We start from the raw sequence: 19,794 nt of genomic DNA, 5'->3' as shown, positions 1-19,794 counted from the left end.
CTGCACGTGTACTCCTTGCATCTAAAATAAAAGTTGAAATTATTTGTTTTAAAAGAAGATGTGAAAAAATCAAGTTGTTAAATCCTCTCCAAAACTACCACTGATACTTTTCTTAAAATTACGCTGTTTATGTCTGAATTTGAGTTGGATTTATATTACCATACGGAGTCTTTTCACCCAGTGTAATGCATATTACCACTTAGTAAAGTCTTTTAAAGTTTTTCTTTATGGCTGTAAGTAAAGTCTCTGAGTTCTTAGAGGTCCTACTTACTTCCTCTTAAGTTTGTTTCTAGGTATTTAAAAATATTTTTGCCAAGCTATTGACAGAGGCAGACAAATGCCTAAGCAGATAGGGGCAGGTCCCTGGCAAAACCCCATGTCCAAGCTAAAGACAGTTTAAAGCCTGAAAACCAAGCTACAAGTTAAATCTTCGGACTGGATTGAGTACTTGTCGTCTTATTTGGCACACATTCATCTGATTAATCTCCACCCTTCACTTATTTAACATATACCTACCTTTTCCTAATTGGTTTTTCTACACAGTCATGCCCACCTTTGAGTGGTGTCTTCACTTTAACCTTTTTGCGTACTCACAAACCAATCAGTATGCACTCCCCATTCTGAGTCCATGAAGGGACCCAGACCCAGCCATGGGGCAACTATCCACTCCCACAACCCTCACCCCACATCACTTCTCCACTGAAAGCCATTTTCATCGTTATTCTCCATCTTCCTCACCCTTCAATGCCCTGCATATCCTCATTCTTCTTGAGCATGGTACAAGAGCTCAGGAACCACTAAACGCAGGTATAAGCTATAACACAGATGAACTGGGGCACATCAGCATGGCTGAGAGAGGCCCAGGTGGGGTGTTGCCAGCCAGGGGTCCTCAACTTGCAAAGTGACCGAGTAGAAAAATCCTACATCACTATTAGAAATGTGATTTTATTTTTTATTACACTTTCTCAATGGTTATTATATCAGATTTTATATTTATATTTTACTTCTAGGCCCAGCTTACTGATATGTCTTATTAATTTAACTTCAAGTGTAGCACACAAATCAAATATAAATAACATTTTTTGTTTCTTAATGGTACTAAGATGCAGTGAGTTCAGTTTTATTCCTGTTCTTAAACTACATCCACCCAACACCAAGTATTTCTTTATACCCATACCCAGTGCCTTTCATTTGGCCCATGCTGTGCTTGGCAGTGGAGCTCAGAAAGTTCCACTTTATATTCACCTTTCAGAGTTAATTTGTCCTTCAGAGTCTTCTCCCCCAACCCTCCCTTAAACCACAGTGAGAAGTTGAGTGTGTGTATTAATTATGCTTTCTGGCAGCCTCATGATGCTCATTTGGAGGCTTCCCGGACTTGGCAGCACTGACTTCCATTTTAATTAGCTTCTCAGGAGGTGTTTGCACAATTCATAAGATAAATAAGCCTGCACTGGAAGTGGGAAGCCCAGTTTATAGCAGCCTGGTCTCCTGAGTAAAGCTCCCTGGAGCAATGTTTCTGAGAAGAGTGATCTAAATTGTGACAAAGGAAACAGTGGACTTGGTTGAACTCATCCTCACTATGGATCGGAAGCTTGGGCTGTTGCTGGAAATTAGTGCAAAGCTGAACCATATTGGAGATCAAAAAGGAAAGAAAAAATTAGTAATTCTGATTCTGTCTGTACTTTAAAAATTTATACTTTGTTCATCATTGGCTTTTAGCATTAATTTTGATTTTTCAAGAATTATTGCATTAAAATATTCTTTATTTTGATTACTGAGGGTTTTTCTTGGCATTCCCTTACATTTTGTACCTGATATGAGTACCTTATTCATCTCACTATCATCCTGAACCTGCTCGAAATGCCCCTATAGTGGGTTGAACTGTGGCCCACCCAAAAAATATGCTCATGTCCTATCCCCTAGAGTCTGTAAATATGACCTTATTTGAAAAAAGGATCATTGCAGATGTAATTAATGATCTCAAGATAAGATCATCCTGGATAATCTAATGCAACTTAAGTCCAATAATAAAGATCCTTATAAGAGACAGGAGAAGAAAAGACACAGGCATACAGAGACAGAGGAGGTTTGTGAAGATAGATGCAGAGATTTGAGTTTTGCAACTATAAGCCCAGGAATGCCTGGAACTACCAGAAGTTGGAATAGGCAAGAAACATTGGGAGGGAGCATGGCTCTGCCTGTACCTTAATTTTGGACTTCTGGCTGCCAGAACTGTTAGAGAATAAATTTCTGTTGTTGTAAGCCTTCAAGTTTGTAGTCATTTGTTAAGGCAGCTTTAATCAACTAATACAGTCCCAAAGGCAAGTGTGTTGATAGAAGTCTATAAGCCAGACTGGGGAGAAACCTCAACCCTTAGGTCCAAGCCTGGGCAGCTGTAGGTGTTCCAAAGTTAGCAGAAAGAAACAAGCACAAAAGAAAAAAGTTGAAGGCAGTTTCTGGTGGATAAAATGTGTGTGTGTTTGTGTGTGTGTGTAATTTTTGTTGATTTATCAAATGTTTATTGAGTACTTTCTATTTGCCAACCCCTGTGTCAGGCACTATGTAAATGCACTAACACATTTGCACATAAATGCCCAAGCACAGATGTGCATGATTTAAATAAAATCATAAAAGATCAAACTAAATTATGAAGCAACTACAGAATTCTGATCAGTTTTTCCCAGAATGCTTGCCACATCCCTTCCGGCTCCTTAATAGATCTAGCAAAACCTCTTCTCTATTATTTCTTAATGGCTTTTGTTTACTGCTAGCTTGGTACTTTTTGTATTATATTATAATGGAAGATTCTCTTACCTTCTCTTTTCCCCCATAAGGTAAGCTCAATGAAGCTCAGTGAAGTCACAGATTGTCTTTTTAAATCTCTATTTCTCCAGCACTAAATACGTAGGTACTGAAAGAATGAATTAATCCATTTTTTAAAGAACAGAACCCAAATAATATTTTGAGAAAAACAATCAAACTCAAACTCAAACTCCTAGGCTCAAGTGATCCTCCTACCTCAGCCGGTAAATTAGCTGGTACTACAAGTGTACATTACCACACCCTACTTTGAAGATGTTCTTTTTTTTACACACATGTAATAGAAAGCCTTACAATAATATGCTTTCATTTCTTCATTCTCTGTTCTTATACTGTAGCTGTCATTTGTTTTACTTTTATATATACAACATAAATTATATACTGCATTGTTTTTATTTTTGTTTAAAGACGCAACTATCTTTTAAGGAGGATTTTTGTTTTTAAATAAGAAAAAGGTATGTATGTAATAGTATTGTTACCATTTCTAGTGTTCTTCATTCTTGGATGTAGATTCACATTTCCATCTGAAGGAAGTCCTTTTGTTTGAGGACTTCCTTTAGCAGTTCTGGTAGTGTGGATCTATTGGGACCATGCATTCTTTTATCTTTTTTATGTCTGAAAAGGTATTTATTTCACCTTCACTTTAAAAAGGTATTTTCATTTAGTAAGCAGTTCTTGGCTAACAGGATTTTTTTTTCTTTTCTTTTTTGGTGTCTTAAAGATGATGTTCCATTGTCTTCTTGCTTCCATTACTTCTGGCAGGCAATCTGCTGAACTTATGTTCAGTAACCTTTGTTACTCTGTATATAACATGACATTTTCCCCTTATCTGAATGTTTTTAAGGCTTTTATCGCTGGCTTTGAGCAATTTGATTGTCATGTGCTTTAACATAATTTTCTTCAAGTTTTTTTGTGGTTGGGTTTTTTGAGCTTTCTGAATTTGTGCATGTATTTTTTTAAATCAATTTTGGAAAATTTCCAGCATTTAAAAAATAATATTTTAATATACTAAATATATAATATAAGCATTGTAGATATTTAATTTTTTTGGATTTTGGAAGAAAATTAGTTTCAGGGACAACTATACATTATTAGGTCATTTGAAATTGTCCCAAATCACAATGATCACAACGATGATTGATTCATTTTTGTTTTTTCTTAATTCTCTTTTCTCTGTGTTTCATTTGGTTTTTGTTGTTCCATCTTTAAGCTCACTAATCTTTTCTTCCACAATATCTAATCTTCTAAAATTAACCCTATTTACTGTATTTTGAAAATATCTTCCCTATCTCTACTTTACGTAGTAAACATATGGAATACAACTTTTACTGTTGTTAAGAAAAACTCTAACAATTTTTCCTCTGTTTTCACACCAAAACAATAGTCAATACCAAAATACTTTGGTATTTCTCCCCACTGGCAAGCAAGCAATCAAATCTGTAGCAGACATCAGCTAGGTGTTCTTCAATTGAATTCCATTACTGTCTTTTGGAGATAGCATCAGATCCAACAGTTTGAGGGCTGAGCCTCAACCCTCAACCCTCAACCCCACAATGTCAGTTGCAAGTCTGGGCCTCCAGAACTTCTGATTCACCTGCTTCAAGTTCGAGTTCTCATGATTGCCACTTTGGGTTCCATTAATTTGCTAAAGGGGCTCACAGATCTCAGGGAGACACATTTACCAAGTTGTTATAAAAGACATTTTAAAGGATACAAATAAACAGCTGGATGAAGAGATACATAGGGCCAGGTCCAGAAGGATCCTGAGTGCAGAAGCCTCTGTCTCCCTGGAGTTGGGATGAGCCACCCTCCCAGCATGTGGTTGAGTTCTTGTTTACCTTTCTGTCAGCCTTCATGAGTTCAGCTCTCCAGAAGCCCCATGAACCCTGTCCTCTTGGCCCTTTTATGGAGACTTCAGTGGGTAGGCATGATTGAAGCATGGCCAACCATGTCAAAATATGATTGAACAAAAAGAGTGTGATCTACACCCAGCAAGTCCTGTCTGTTCAGATTCTACTTGGCATCTCTGCAACATATCTTTCTCCAGGATATGGGGCAGGATTCCCCCTCTGGAATGAGTGTTTCATGATCCACAATTAGATGAGTGTCCTGCCTTAGGCAGGTGAAAGGAGGGCAGACGAGTATCAGAAAGAGAGAGAGAAAAAGAGTCTATTTGTAACTTCTGTAGATCTGTTTGTAACAAGGGCTATGGGAGTTATGAGCCTGCAACTGTGGATGAAAACCTATATACATGAGAGTTATATATATGAAATATTACAAATCTATTCTTGTCTCTTAATTCTAACATTCAGAGTCAGTATTTTAATGATTTTTCTCCTTTCTATCAATTACAGTCTCTTCTCTCCATGCCTGATAATTTTTTATTGAATGCCATATACTGTGAATTTTACTTTGGTGCTGGATAATTTGTATTTCTATAAATATTCTTGAGATTTATTCTGCAATACAGTTAAATTGCTTAAAAACACTGATCTTTTTAAATCTTGCCTTTAAGATTTGTTAGGTGGGGTTGTAGCAGTGCTCACTCTAGAACTCATTATTCCTTACCTGTGGAAGTCCTTCCTGAGTATTCTGAAATTGCCCCCTGAATCATGACATTTTTGGCTGATGGATACAGGTACTATTGTCAGTCCTGTGTGAGCACAGGGCTTTGTTACTTCTTATCCTTTCTAGCAGTTCTTTGCCTTGAGTAGTTTTCTGGCACTTGTGTGCTAATCAGTGTTCTGCTATATACTTGAAGGGGGCTTTCTGAATTCCTCTCTCTGTGAAGCTCCTTCTTTTCTGGTACTCTGCTCTGAGAACTCTGCCCATCTTTTTCTTGCCTGATTCTCAGCTCTGGAGTCAGCCGGGCTCTGCTTGGGTTACTCTCCTCTATTCCATGGCTTGGAGACACTTTCAAGGCAGTAAACTAGGACAATCATGGGGCTTATGTCATTTGTTTCATGTCCCCAGAAATGACTCTTTTATTCACTCATGTCTTGAAAACCAGTGAATCATGATTTTTCAGTTTTTTTTCTTTTAGTTGTTTCAGGCAGATGATGAATCCAATTCCTGTTATTCCATATTGACTGGAAGTGGAATTCTGAGACTGCCTTTTCAAACTTCATATGTCCCAGCCCCACTGCCTAGAGTCTGATTCAGAATCTGTATTTTGCAAAAGCAGGGCATTCTGATGTACACTCTTAGTCATGAACCAGGAGACTAGATCTTTGCTCTTTAAAGGGTTGTTCAAGTACCAGCACTATCAGCATCACCTGGGAGCTTGCTAAATATACAGAATCTCAGGCCTCACCCCAGACCTACTGATTCAGAATCTGCATTTAAACAAGATCCTTAGGTGATTTATATGCACATTCAAATGTAAGAGGTGCCAGATCTGCTAACTTCAAAGTTCCCTTCCAATTCTAAAGTTCTATGTGCCTGTGAAATGGATAGGAGAGCAAGATAGATTGTAGAAAAGTTATAGCATGTTAAAAACCTGAGGTGGTAGGGTAAGTTTATTATATTAACTGCAAAAGACCTAGGAAAAGGAAAAATAGGAGAGCTAACAGGACAAAAAGAGCAACTACTTATTCCAGTTACTAGAAAGCGCGTAGCAGGTCTTAGGTACTTAGTAAATCATTTTCTTGACTGACTGACTGACCAACAGATGACTGGTTAGACACACTATCAAGGTTGGCATTGATAGGATTCTTACAGTGACAATTTAGACACAGAGAGCTCAAAAGAGGCAAAATAATTTGACTCAGAGGAGATAGTTTAGACTACTTAAGAAACATTAGTATTCAAGAGAGTTTGGTAAAAGCAGGTCCCAGAAAGTTAATTCTTTATAATTGAGGAAGTAACTAAGGGACTTGCAATTCCATGTAATTACAACCAAAGAGGAAGAGATTGCTGTTGAGGAGGAAATAACAGGCAGCTTTGGAGAAAGTGACCATGCCAGCTCCAAATTTACAACAGCCCGATATCCTGGTGTCAGGTTCTAACTGAGGTCCAAGGGGAGTCAGTGGATGACAGGTGGGTAGCTGGAAAAACACTTGAATCATATAGTTTTGATGTGGCTTTGTTCTGTCTCTGGACATGAGCAAACCTAGGCACAAGCAAGCCTGGGTGCGAGCCATGGGCACAAGATGTATGTACAGTGTTAGCAGGGTAACTATACCTTTTACAGACAATAGTGGCTCTGAACCAAGCACAGGCTCATGTGGGTGATCACCTAATGTGCCTCTTACGGCATGGTTACATAAGAGCGGAGGTGTGTGCCTGCGCTCCAAATTTGCTGAGTCATGCTGGACTGGTTATCTGCCTCAGCTTATTCTTGACCACAGCACATCTATTTTCCTTACATTCCACCCCCTAAGCCAAAGGAGACATTAGCTTTGGACACACAGGTCTGACACATAGGCCTTATACATAGGTTCTGGACACACAGGCCCTGGACACACGGGTCTGACACATAGGCCTTACATTCCACCCCCAAGGGAATGGGAATGGAATGTAAGGCTGAGGGAGTTTTTCTAGTGGGGAGACGTACCCACAGAGAGGAACCCTGGACCCAGAGGCCACAGTAGTAATACAGGGGGCAACAACTCTAAGTTATGGCAGGTAACCACCCCATGGTGACACTACCCCAATGTTGCTTTCTACATTAAGCCAGGTTTTTATTTCCCTACCTTTATGTGCATTGGGGCAGGCAACAACATGTTACTGTTCATCCCCATACCTGGTCAGAGGAGGTCATCCTTCCTCCCATAAGTTTTGCCACATGGCTTGGCCCTACATGGGCCGGTGACCATCTAGCTACTTCTGTAACTTCTGGGTATTTAACCACAAGGTTAAGCCTCAGTAAACTGCCCAGTCATTGGTGCAGATTACTGTAGGTGTCACCTCCTTAGTGGTCACTATTCACACTGCCCTGAGTTCAGACCATTGGCAAATTTGTCCACACCTGCTTTCAAACCATATGGTATCTATAGTAACTTGGACTGTAACAGTGGTCCAGGCAGCAGTAGCACCCCGGCTAGATTCATCTGTATACTATGCCCCATCAGGAATATGGGGGTGCCTCAGGCCTTATGGCCTTATCTTGCATTAGGACTACAGGTCCCAAGACCTTTTGCAGCTCTGCTGCTAAGGGACTTGTACTCAGAGTACTCCACTACTCTAAGTAGGCACCCCACTTTGCTAAATTGGGTGTCTGTGCTGTCCCAGTCCTGGGGGTCATTACCCAGGAACGCATCATTACCCCATCCCACTATCTGGTAAATCATCTGCATGACAACTGCAGCCCATCCTGTCACACTCCCACAAGCATGAAGGGCGGCATATACAGCTGCTAGCTGTTTCTCTGTCAAGGAATACCAGAGCTCAGCTACCTTCCATTACTGGGACTAAAAGCCTACTGGCATTCTCAAGCGCTTCATGCACTGGACATGAGCGAACCTAGGCACAAGCAAGCCTGGGTGCGAGCCATGGGCACAAGCTGTATGTACAGTGTTAGCAGAGTAACTATACCTTTTACAGACAATAGTGGCTCTGAGCCAAGCACAGGCTCGTGTGGGTGATCACCTAATGTGCCTCTTGTGGCATGGTTACATAAAAGCGGAGGCCCCAGCCGAAGCCATCTGTGGTCACATAGCACACCCAGCTCAAATGGGCACCCCGGTCAACCACCCATAGGGGTTGTGACTGCTGAATAGCCCATTTGGCTGCCAGGAAGGCAGTCTCAGCCACATCATCCCAATCTCAGGCAAGAGAAGTGTTGCCGCTTCTAAATCTGCAAGAGAATCAGAGATTAACATAATATTATCAAGAAGACCATGACATATGGTGGGGCTGTGCATATAGCCCTGCGACAACACTGTGAAAGTTCTTCCAGGACTAATCCCTCTGTGAGTGCTTTGGAATACATTATTTCTGCTTCTCAGGCAGCCAGTATCAATGATTCAATCTCTCTCCTCTATTTTCAATTGCTTTGTCTTAGCAGGGTGCTTTCCATTTTCATTAAAATATACTTAAGTAGCTCTTAAGTATGTTTAGTACTTTCAAAAGAAAAGTTTCCCTTACCTCTCATCCTCTTCTAGATAGCGCTTTATCTCAATCTTCCTTATTGCACCTGAACTTCTTATGTGTTCTCACTGCCTCTATTTTTTTCTTACTTCCTTTTTACTCTTTACTTACTAAAAACTAGCTAATGTACCATCACTCCAAGTTCATCAGTGATATTCGTATTTCTAAATAAAATAAATATTTTCCTTTTTTAAAAAAATAAATCTCTCAGGAGGATTTAATATTGTGACCCACGTCCTTCTTTACTCTCTTTGTTTAGCTTTCTTAGAAGCCAGAGTCTCTTGGTAGTTGTCCTAGTTCTTTGGTTTCTCTTTATCAATCTCCTTTACATGCCGATCTTTTTATGTCTCTTATGAACTAATAGAGTACCTGACGTGTCAGTCTTGTCTCTCACAACTTTTCTCATTCCACACTCTCTCCCTGGGACATCTCATGGCTTCAGATTCCTTATGTATGATCCCTGTGATAATTCCCATCCTGGACTTCTTTGAATTCCAGACTGTCATATTCCATTGTCTACTTCACATGCACTTTGGTGTCACAAAGCCACTCACATCAACACACTCAGAACTGGAATCATGCTTCTGTGCCAACTAATACTTTCCCAGTGTTTCTTTTTTTCAGAGAATGACTTAACCTTTCTAGTCATATTGGGCAAAAACTCGGGATCTAGTCTTGATTCTTTTTCTTCTCAACAGAATCCATCACTAAGATCTATAAATGCAATGTCTAAATAAGTCTACATCCATCCATTTATATCCATCTTTCAGCCTCACTTTAGTCCAAGGTATCATCTCATCTTGGCTGGATAACTGCAATAGCCTGCTAACAGATCTCCCATTTCTTTATTGTCCTCTTAAGATTTGTTCCTGCACTGCAATTAGGATGATCTTTCCAAATGGAATCTGATCATATCATTTCCCTATTTAAAAATGTTGGCAGACACTCATTATGTTTAAGAAAGAGCTCATTCTTATAATAGTCCAGCAGGTCCTGTGGGACCTGGCCTGTGCCACCTCACCAGCATTGATTCTGACGATTCCACTACCCCAAGTGAAACCAGTCAGCTTTCAGTTCCTCCTGGATGCCCTGCTCCTCCCACTCACTACGGGGCTTTATTACAAGTTGTTTTTATAGTCATAAAGGGCTCCCTTCCCTTTTTCTTACAAATTAGCCAAGGTGATTTTTAAAAATTAGTCTCACATTAGTGTATTTCCATCCTTTGGATAACTTGTACCAATTCCTAATAACACATCCACTTTTTTTTTTTTTTTTTTTTTTTTGAGACAGAGTCTCTCTCTCTTGCCCAGGCTAGAGTGCAGTGGCGCGATCTCGGCTCACTGCAAGCTCTGCCTCCCGGGTTCACGCCATTCTCCTGCCTCACCCTCCTGAGTAGCTGGGACTACAGGTGCCACCACCAGGCCGGCTAATTTTTTTTATTTTTAGTAGAGATAGGGTTTCACCGTGTTAGCCAGGATGGTCTCGATCTCCTGACCTCATGATCCGCCCGTCTCGGTCTCCCAAAGTGCTGAGATTACAGGCATGAGCCACCGCACCCGCCCAACACATCCACTTTTAAAAATGTTATTATCTGTCTCTTTGACTGCAGCTTTACTTAATGAATAGGGTTTTCCTCTGCTTGTATGTCCCTGTATCCTTAAGGTCTAATAGAATACTTGGTCCACAGTATGTACTCTATAAATAGTTTTGAAATAAATGAATTTATGAATGGCCTCAAAAATACTCTTTCCCATTCTCTACTTTGTACATGCTCTCCCTTCCCCTGTAACAAATTTCTTCCTGCTCTTCATCTCTCGATCCAGGTTTATTGACAGCTTTCTACACATTCTTAAAGACTCAACCTTGTCCTTCTATCAGAAATGTTCCCTAATTTACTCTCCCAAAGGAGTTAGATGCTCCCAATTTTGTGTTCTTTATGTGTTTCTTTAGTCAGCATTTCTTATACTGGACTGAAGGTTTTTGTTTGTACATCCATTTTCTTATATACTCCAATACTTAAAACATAGGGACAATGTCTTAGAACAGTGCCTGAAAGTATTCAGGACTCAGTACATGTTTACTGAATTAATCAATGGTAGGTTCTGAAGAACCCATTCAAATGAGATAGATTCCCCTGTCATCCTTCACTACTCCATGGGGATCCTTTTTGAAACTGTATTTGATGGAAGAAGACAGTGTTCTTCAGTTAAAAGAATATGTCTTTAACTTGCATCCGTGTGCACAAATATCATGTGCTTCTGCTAGACTTGCCACGTAAAGCAAAGGGGAGTTGGGAGAGCATCTCTGTTCTTTAAGTAGTTTCATGTTTCTAGGCACATGATTTCCCACAATACTGAAAGGGCTTTTCAATGTGTTTTTGGCTTATAATTGGTGATCTATCAGAAATCAGAGAGAACACAAAGCAGACCAGAAATCTGGGGGTGTGTGATAGGCAAATATTTTCCCACTCTTTAGAAAGAAAGAGTCCAGCACTACACGATGTCAAGCATGACATCAATTGTATGAAAAATTCTGGAATGGATTATTATCTCATGGTTTGTAGGCCGTTTGAGAGGGCAGTAACTAGCATTAATTCCCTAAGGACAAGACATGCTATCACAGTCTCTTTCCTCCGTTAGTTAGAGCTAATAGATTATACTAAGAAGGCAAATGCTTTAGACATGGTATGTCTGAATTTCAGAAAAGTCTTTGATCACATTTTTCCTGATATGTTTTTGTCCAGATTGGCCTAGGTGATGGTGTGTATAGGTGAATTTATAATTGACTTAGTGCCATTGCCCATGGAACATTGACTAATGGATCAATGCTGATGAGGCAGACTTTAGGCAGCTTAACACATACCCATCCCAGTCCTGTTCTAGTTAACATTTTACTAAACTGTAAACAAAAATATAAAATACATTATTATCTTTAGATAATAAATTCTGGTAGGAAGGGCATAGTTTGTGAGCTATCAGGATGAGAATTCAAAATAATTTTTAGGCCAAAAGTAATGAATTAAAACAGCAATATGAAGATTTTTTTCCATGCACATATTATCTCATTTAATCATCATAGTAGGGTATTAATATTACTAATAACCCTCATTTATTGTATGCCCTGAATGTGCTAGATGCTTACCTTTGCCTTTCCAAATAATATCTTTTTTTGAGACAGAGTTTTGCTCCTGTTGCCCAGGCTGGAGTGCAATGGTGCGATCTCGGCTCACCGCAACCTCTGCCTCCCAGGTTCAAGTGATTCTCCTGCCTCAGCCTCCTGAGTAGCTGGGACTACAAGCATGCACCACCATGCCTGGCTAATTTTGTATTTTTAGCAGAGAGGGAGTTTCTCCATGTTGGTCAGGTTGGTCTCAAACTCCTGACCTCAGGTGATCTGCCCACCTCAGCCTCCCGAAGTGCTGGGATTACAGGCGTGAGCCACTGCACCTGGCCTCCAAATAATTTTATACATATATAATATTTCTGCTACAGAAAAGGAAACTGAAGGTCAAATAAATTGCATACCTTCTATGACATTGTACAGGTAATGCTGGAGCTGGGATTTACAAACAGGTCAATCTGACACTCAAACTGAAAACCCTCTTTCTTATACCCTACTTGTTTTTCAGATGAAATGTATCAGAGAAGTATAAATTCTGCACTAAAATTCAGAAACTTCATTGTATAAGAACAAAGTGGAGAAGATTTAGTTTAACAGTGGTTCATGTGAAAAGGTATGAAGCATTTGGTTTGCCTGTAAGCATCTTATGAATTATCCAGATGAGTCACTGACATCCCTCCAAATGAATACAATCTTGGATTATAGAATACAGCCCAGAAAAAAGAAGGGCAAGAATCACACTGTGCCCTACCATGAGTGAAATATGGTGCTTGGTTCTGAGGCACTCACCCTAAAAGAGCACTGTCTATTTGAGCAAGCCCAGAATAATTTGACCAGAACGATGAAGATAGGTCATATGAATAATGGTTGAAGGAGCTACAATGTAGAAAACATGCTACATTTAGCTGTATATAGTTAACATTTGTTCATGCATATTATGAGCCAGACACTATTTTTACTATTTTACAGCTTTAATTCATTTAATTCTCAAGATAATCTTATTAAATAGGTGCTGTTATTATTACTTCTATTTTACAGATGAGGAAATCGAAGTGCAGAGAGGTGATATAAACTTTCCCAAGGTCACATAGTCAAAAAGTCTGGTTCCTATTTTCAAGTGGAACAGGAAATTAGAGGAGAAATTACATACCTTATTTAGCTAGAAATATTTTAAAAAATCAAACAAGAAAGGTTGCTCTAGAAGAGTACACTTTGATTCCCAGAAACCTAATAATTTACATTATTTCAAAAGGGCCTTGCTGAGTTATCTATTACCTGATGCTTTCAAACAGGCATATTTTTGGAGGGATTCTATAGCATTGAAGAGGATGAATAATATGATTTACATGTTTCCTTCCAACTCAATGAGCCTATCAGTGTCAGCATAGTCCCATATGATGGGTTAAAGTGAGAGCATTTATCCTCCCAGAATCTTGAAGCTTATGTAGAAACATCTAGATTAACTGGAACTTGATTTCAAGAACCCTAAATTAATCAAAATGTGTTGCTGCCTTCTGCTTTTAGAGGTGATTTTTGGATGTTTTTAAATATTAATTAATCCCTTCATCCACGAGTACATACATTCAGATAACAAAGATTTATTGAGCATCTACTGTATGTAACACTATGCCTGATTTCATCTTTGGCTGTCTATTGTTAGCTCCATTTAATGATGAGAACATTTAAGCTCAAAAATTTAAGCAATTTGCCCAAATCCCCACAGGTAGGAAGGTACAGGAAAAGACTTGGAACACAGGTTTGTCAAACTCTGCTTTTTCCAGTGTACTCTACTCCTTTGGCAAGAAAATCAAGTAGATCCATATTTCACAAGTAATTTCAATAAAAAGGGTTCTACTTGTGTCTTGGGTCATTAGCTCAACAAACATCACCGGTTCTCCTTTCGCTTAGGGCTGGTATAGTGTTTGTTGGTGAAGAATACAAAGGTTAAAAAAAGAGACCAGGCAAAAAACATTGTTCTGTCTTGGAGAGGGTTCAGTGCTGGGTGGGGAGACATCTGAGAACAGATTATTGCAATTAAGTGAGAAAAGCTGAAAGTTAAATTGCCTAGAGTGTGCATTCTTCTGATCTTCCTGTTAATTGAAATTTTACATCATCAACATCCAGATTGATGCAACAAATGTCTGAGCATGAACGCTGTGCCAGGAGGAGAAAGTACTAGGCATGGTTTCTGCACTCATGAAGGGTCTAGTTAGCTTGGATGCCTGAGGTCTGACCTGGTTCTTGAGATTTCCGTATAGGAAACTAGTGAAACTGTGCAGTTTCATCTTACCTAAAAGTTAGTTAGAAGTCAGCCAGTAAGATAAAACCAGGATATAACAAAATTTACTGTTTAAAATAGCTATATTGGGCATAATATGCTGTCCATGATGAGTTCACAATGAATATCTGAAGACAGTGGGGGTGAAAGAACACCTCAGCTGCAGGCATGATTCTCTGTTTTGGAGCGGTGGATCTCTACTCCAATTGCACGTTAAGATTACCTAGGGAGAGACTGGGTGCAGTGCCTTGTGCCTATAATCCTAGCACTTTGGGAGGCTGAAGTGGGCAGATTGCCTGAGCTCAGGAGTTCGAGACCAGCCCGGGCAACATGGTGAAACCCCATCTCTACTAAGATACAAAAAATTAGCCAGGTGTGGTGGCATGCACCTGTAGTCCCAGCTATATGGGAGGCTGAGGCACAAGAATTGCTTGAATCTGGGAAGTAGAGGTTGCAGTGAGCCGAGATCATGTCAGTGCACTCCAGCCTGGGGGAAATTTTTAAAATCTGATGCCCAGGGCTTTGCCCAAGATCAATTCAATCAGAAATCTGGGAGGAGGATGGGCCCCAAACAAGTGTTTTTAAATATATGTATTTCCCACATGATTCTTATTTGCAATAAGGGTTAATTAAGAACCTCTTCTCAGTAGAAAACAAACCTGCAAATATTTCTAGCTCTGGGCATTGTAAAACTCACACCTCTGGCTATTGTAAGCAATTTATTTTGCTCCTTTTCAAACTCTCAGAGATGGTGAGGCACAATCAGATATCAGAGATGATGGAAAATGTTGGAAATAGCTCTGCAACTAGCAGGCAAGCTGGTTCTGAAATGTCGGCTCATCTTAATTTCAGCTGTGTTTAGAGAAGACCATCTTACTGGTTCACAGAGCACTCCCTTGTGGCTAAATTATTATGGGCCAACACCGATTCTTGTTTGCAACCTTCTGCAACAAACACACACATAAACACACACACACACACACACACACACACACTCTTCTCAGGATAAAATATTTTAAAATGCTGACTTTAAGATTTCAACAAAGCATTAAGTATTTTTCTTATATATAAAAAGTTCTTTCCAGAAAGAAAATCCTAGCCATATGACCAACAAGAGGCTGCATGGATCACTGAGAAAACCCTGAGTGTCCACCCATGCTCTGTGGGTTGTGGTTTAAGATGACTCTTTGGACCTCAGATTCTTCATGTGTCAAATGAATCAATGGGACTCTCTGACTGCATTATACTAATGTTCTATAATCTATGATTCACTTTTCTAGAGGACTCAGCCAAGTTGGGGATTCCCTTATTTATCTAGTAGATTAAACTCTTCAGACTCTTAAAGAGGTAGAAGGAAATAGTTCGAGATGAGCAAAGTGGTTTTGTTTTGTTTTCCTTCCTCAACCCCCTTCCTGCATCATTGAGCTGGGTGAACAGTTGCTAAGAAAAAAGCGAAATGTTCCAAACTAGGGGACTTTTTGGACATAGATTCTGAAACTTCAGTTGTGATGTTGGCTGGACACAGTGGTTGGCTTTCTTTGTGGGGAATGGCACAAGAGAAGAGAAAGATCTGCTTTTCATATGTCAGAACTAATTGTGAAATAAGTGGGCCTACAGACTAATCTAATCATGCTTTTCTTTATTCACCTCATATAAAAGTCTCTTTAGAATGCATTTGAACACAATATATAATAATAATACTATAACATACATTGTGAGAAACATTTGAAAATGATAAAATGTCCACCTGAAACAATGCAGTGTTCATAGACATACATTGGTCATGCACATTTGTGCCATTTTCTGTAATTACTGAGTCACAATGCTGAACTGAAAGCATGAAACATATTTTACAAACTGAAACTGACATCAGTAAGAGGCCTAACAAGTGTTATCAGAAGAGGCTTCACATTTGCGTAATTTGCTACATCAGTTCACATTTTATTATAAAAATTCACATTGTTTTATTGTTTTCTTTTGTAATGAACTGGAACATGACATTCCTGCTTAATGGCAGGCAGGAGGCTACCTCTTCAAAGTCAGTAGTTCGGGAGCATTCAGAAGAATCATCTGTGAGCAAATGTAGTGTTTCCTTTTGAACCAAAGCCACAATGATAGTAGGATCCAGTTATAACCCAACTCATGCCCACATAGATTTGGATAGAACCTGGGTAAAAACTACATCCCATTGCCCCCTGCCCCTATCAAGCTATACAAAAGTAAAAGCTCAGTATAAACCATTTAGTATCTAATGTGAGAATATTGTTTCCAAAACTGGTTCATAAAGGGGTTGTGCAGAAGTAGCAACTCAGGCAGGGAAAGGGCAGACCCTTTGAACAAAAGCCCACCCCTGTCCTCTCTGCCAAGGGGGCCATATGTCTCTACTAAGTGACGTTTGGGTTATATAATACACAATACAAAACATTACAAGAAAAAGTCGTAACTCTTAGGCAGAGTTTTCTACACAAATTTAACACCACCATTGGCAGGCAATGTTAGATATATAAATTAATAACTTACAAAACATTACATTATATACATTAAGTAATAAATACACGGTTATAAACAGGAATGGAGGTGTTAGCGCAGAAGGCAGTGCAAGAGAAGGACGGCAGCATTACATTGAAAACAGCCTAACGGGGTGAAGAGAGGAGGTAGGGAACAGGGCCAGGGACTGTACAACTCCTGTGGGGGGCAGGGTCCAAGACACAGCAGGGCACACTGCTGAGTTCTATGCAGACTCTCACGGTGAACGACACCACTGCTCCTTTCTACCCCCTAATTTGTTCAATTTTATTCTGTTTACAGCAAAAAGTTAAAAGTACTGTTGGAGGCAGGCAAACAGAGAGAAGTTTTAAGAGTGACTGTGGAGTTGGACTGGACAACAGGGGAAGGAAGTAAAATGTGGTTAGAAGTGTATCCTTTCTGTCTGTTTGCAAAAGTAACTGTAGTAAAGTGAAGGATATTGCCCAAGAAAGAAGGAAGACTATTTTCTTTCCCTTTTCCAGAAAGAGTCAAAAAAGTTTGTCAACTTTGAAAGCTTATCTGTGTAGAAGTTGATACTAAACTCCAGGTATTCAACAGGCATTTTAAAGACATGAAAATGTTTTACAAAAAAGGCACACAGGTTGGCAGACAAAGGGACAAGTGAGAAGATTCATAAATGAAGTTATTAGTCAGTGAGTTCAGTCACTGTCGGGGATAAGTTCCCGAAACTTAGTGCAGAATGATCTCTCAGTTTTGTGTCTTCCATTTTCAAGCCATGTGTCTTGATCAGAATCGGCCCCCAGCAACAGCTTCAGCCCTCTCCACCAAGCTTGCCATCAAGGCAAGTCAACCGTGGGATTTCCTGAGCTGCTATTTGCTTCCTGGTCTTGCTTTCTGACTCCAAACTCAAGTAACTGAAAGGCCAGGTGGCCCTTGTCCTGTGCAGGTCTTGGCCCCCATGGTGGGCTGGCCCTACCACATAGCTGGCATGCTCATCAAGGATAGAATGTTCATCTCCACAGGGAGAGGGGGATTATGTATCCACGGGGGACTTGTCTTCTGTTGCAATGTCTATGTCAGTCTCTCCCAGGGAATCTCTGTTTTCTGGATCAATCACACAAAGCGTCTTTGTGCTGCTGAAATAGCTGTGTCCCTCTCCCTCCTTCTCAGGTCCTTCAGAATCTTCCTCATCGAGAGTCAGTTCAAACTGAAACTTCTCCATCAGACCCTGGCAGTCCCTGTTCTGCTCGTCCAGTGGTGGTGAGGGACTTTGAGGTATCATGCTCTGATACCAGTTCCTGTTATCTTCTAAGGTATCGAGAATGTCCTGAGCATCAGGCTGTACCAAATCTGCCCATGTCTCCCACAATGGATGGACAATGTAGTCGATGAAACCAACCTGGAGAAAAATAAGATGACACATCTGTTATTGTGATGGTGCTTGAAAAGTAAACAAGGTTTCCTGGTTTCCATGCAAAGAAAGAACATTAATAACTTCAGAAAGATCAATCATAATGGATTCCATGATTTGGGCACTCACAATACAGTGGGTCTTACACTGAATGCAATCGATGTATTCTCTCTTAATCCTGGAAGGTAAGTATTGCTGTTTACTATTTACAAAGGCAGAAACTACGACTTATTGAGATTAAATATCTTGTCAGAGGTCACATAACTAGTGACTGGTGGAGCTGGGACTCAGTCCCAGCTTCATCTGATTCCAAAGCCCGTGTTCATCTTGCTACAACAGACTGCATTTCCTTTTATGTGCGCCAGATAAGAAGTCTGGATGGAATCCTCATGATTTCCAGGGACCCAAAGACAAAGAATGACTTTGCCACTACTTGGATTCTGTGAGTCATTTTCTGAAGAAGGCAGGCCCAGGTCTAACGTGTTTTGACTCAATATTTTTTCCTTGTTAACTTTAAAATATGTTGCTATTCCAAAGTGATGAGGAGCTGGCTCCTGACTACTCTGGAATTTCTCAAGTTCTGTGGAATGCTTTTGGCTGGTAGAGGAGTTTGATGAAACACGTGAAAATACTTTGAGCCCTGAAAGAAACACATATCCCCTCGGTGGACATCCATGCAATTGTTTTGGATCTACAGAGCACGCAGTCATTTCCAACAGGTGAAAGAAGGGAAAATAAAAAACAATTAAGCAGTTCCTTTTGCTGATGTTCCTGTGATTAAATACCAGGCTTATGGCTCTGTTATGGTTTACTCAGGGGCTATGCATCCTGCATGAGCTAGCAGTGTGGCCTTACGCTGGCCTCCTCATTGTTGGACAAACAGGAAACACTGGGGGTGGGGACAAGTAGAGAGAAAGAACAGGCACTAGTTGAATGAGGGAAGGGAATTCCCCTGCCATGGTCTGGGGAGCTACAGAGATGCTGCATTGGGATTTAGGGGTAGATGGTCAAAGGGCACCCACCCATGGGACATTATATAGGTCTCTTTCCACACTACTGGAAACTTTCCTTTATTAACATGTTGGTAATTGGCCAGTCATTTAATACATCCAAGTTGTACTGTACACAAGAACTTTGGTCATATGTGATTCTTTCATAAATAAAATTATATATATATATATATATATATATATATATATATATATAGTATGATGTGTGTGTATATATATATATATATATGTATGATGTGTGTATATATATATGTATGATATATATATATTTTCTTATTCTTCTTCTTTCTGGTGCTTTCCTAGCCTTAAAAAGGAAGTTTCACAGCAAAGTCAGGGAATCTCTGATCTATACTGGTTACAAAAACTCAACCGTACATGATTCAGATATTTCTCTCACTTCCACCCACTCCTTTTCCCTCCCTTTTACTTCTTTATGTGTGCTTAATGAATGTTAGAGACTATTTTCAAGGTGTTTTCCAGGGACCCAAAATAACAAGCTCAAGGTAATGGAGAAAATTGAATAAGCTGAACACAGTGCAGTCATTTCCTTTCTTCGCTTGTTTTGCTTCTGCTAAGAA

General features: G+C 39.8%; 1 protein-coding gene across 12 annotated transcripts in view, besides 4 other annotated features; it reads right to left on the bottom strand.

Annotated features, from left to right (window-relative positions):
- Positions 8,297–8,346: an enhancer, noted in NCBI's record as "active region_1159". NCBI's record gives its function as "activates an Ori minimal core promoter by ATAC-STARR-seq in GM12878 lymphoblastoid cells {active_cell/tissue: GM12878}" and the evidence as "EXISTENCE:reporter gene assay evidence [ECO:0000049][PMID:35858748]".
- PDE4B (phosphodiesterase 4B) overlaps positions 15,928–19,794 on the bottom strand; it is a 582,070-nt gene continuing 578,203 nt past the window's right edge. For 7 of the 12 annotated variants that reach the window (NM_001297441.1, XM_047422401.1, XM_017001445.2 and 4 more), the window contains one exon: positions 15,928–18,194. In NM_001297441.1, coding sequence (NP_001284370.1) covers positions 17,829–18,194 — 366 coding nt within the window. In that variant the 3' untranslated portion in view covers positions 15,928–17,828. The remainder of the gene's footprint in view (positions 18,195–19,794) is intronic. The other 5 variants (NM_001037341.2, NM_001297440.2, NM_002600.4 and 2 more) reach the window with 1 other exon arrangement.
- Positions 16,051–16,230: an enhancer, noted in NCBI's record as "active region_1158". NCBI's record gives its function as "activates an Ori minimal core promoter by ATAC-STARR-seq in GM12878 lymphoblastoid cells {active_cell/tissue: GM12878}" and the evidence as "EXISTENCE:reporter gene assay evidence [ECO:0000049][PMID:35858748]".
- Positions 17,177–17,226: an enhancer, noted in NCBI's record as "active region_1157". NCBI's record gives its function as "activates an Ori minimal core promoter by ATAC-STARR-seq in GM12878 lymphoblastoid cells {active_cell/tissue: GM12878}" and the evidence as "EXISTENCE:reporter gene assay evidence [ECO:0000049][PMID:35858748]".
- Positions 17,597–17,686: an enhancer, noted in NCBI's record as "active region_1156". NCBI's record gives its function as "activates an Ori minimal core promoter by ATAC-STARR-seq in GM12878 lymphoblastoid cells {active_cell/tissue: GM12878}" and the evidence as "EXISTENCE:reporter gene assay evidence [ECO:0000049][PMID:35858748]".

Source organism: Homo sapiens, chromosome 1, assembly GCF_000001405.40.
Source record: "Homo sapiens chromosome 1, GRCh38.p14 Primary Assembly".
Classification (NCBI taxonomy): domain Eukaryota; kingdom Metazoa; phylum Chordata; class Mammalia; order Primates; family Hominidae; genus Homo; species Homo sapiens.
This window is presented reverse-complemented; position numbering and strand designations above follow the sequence as displayed.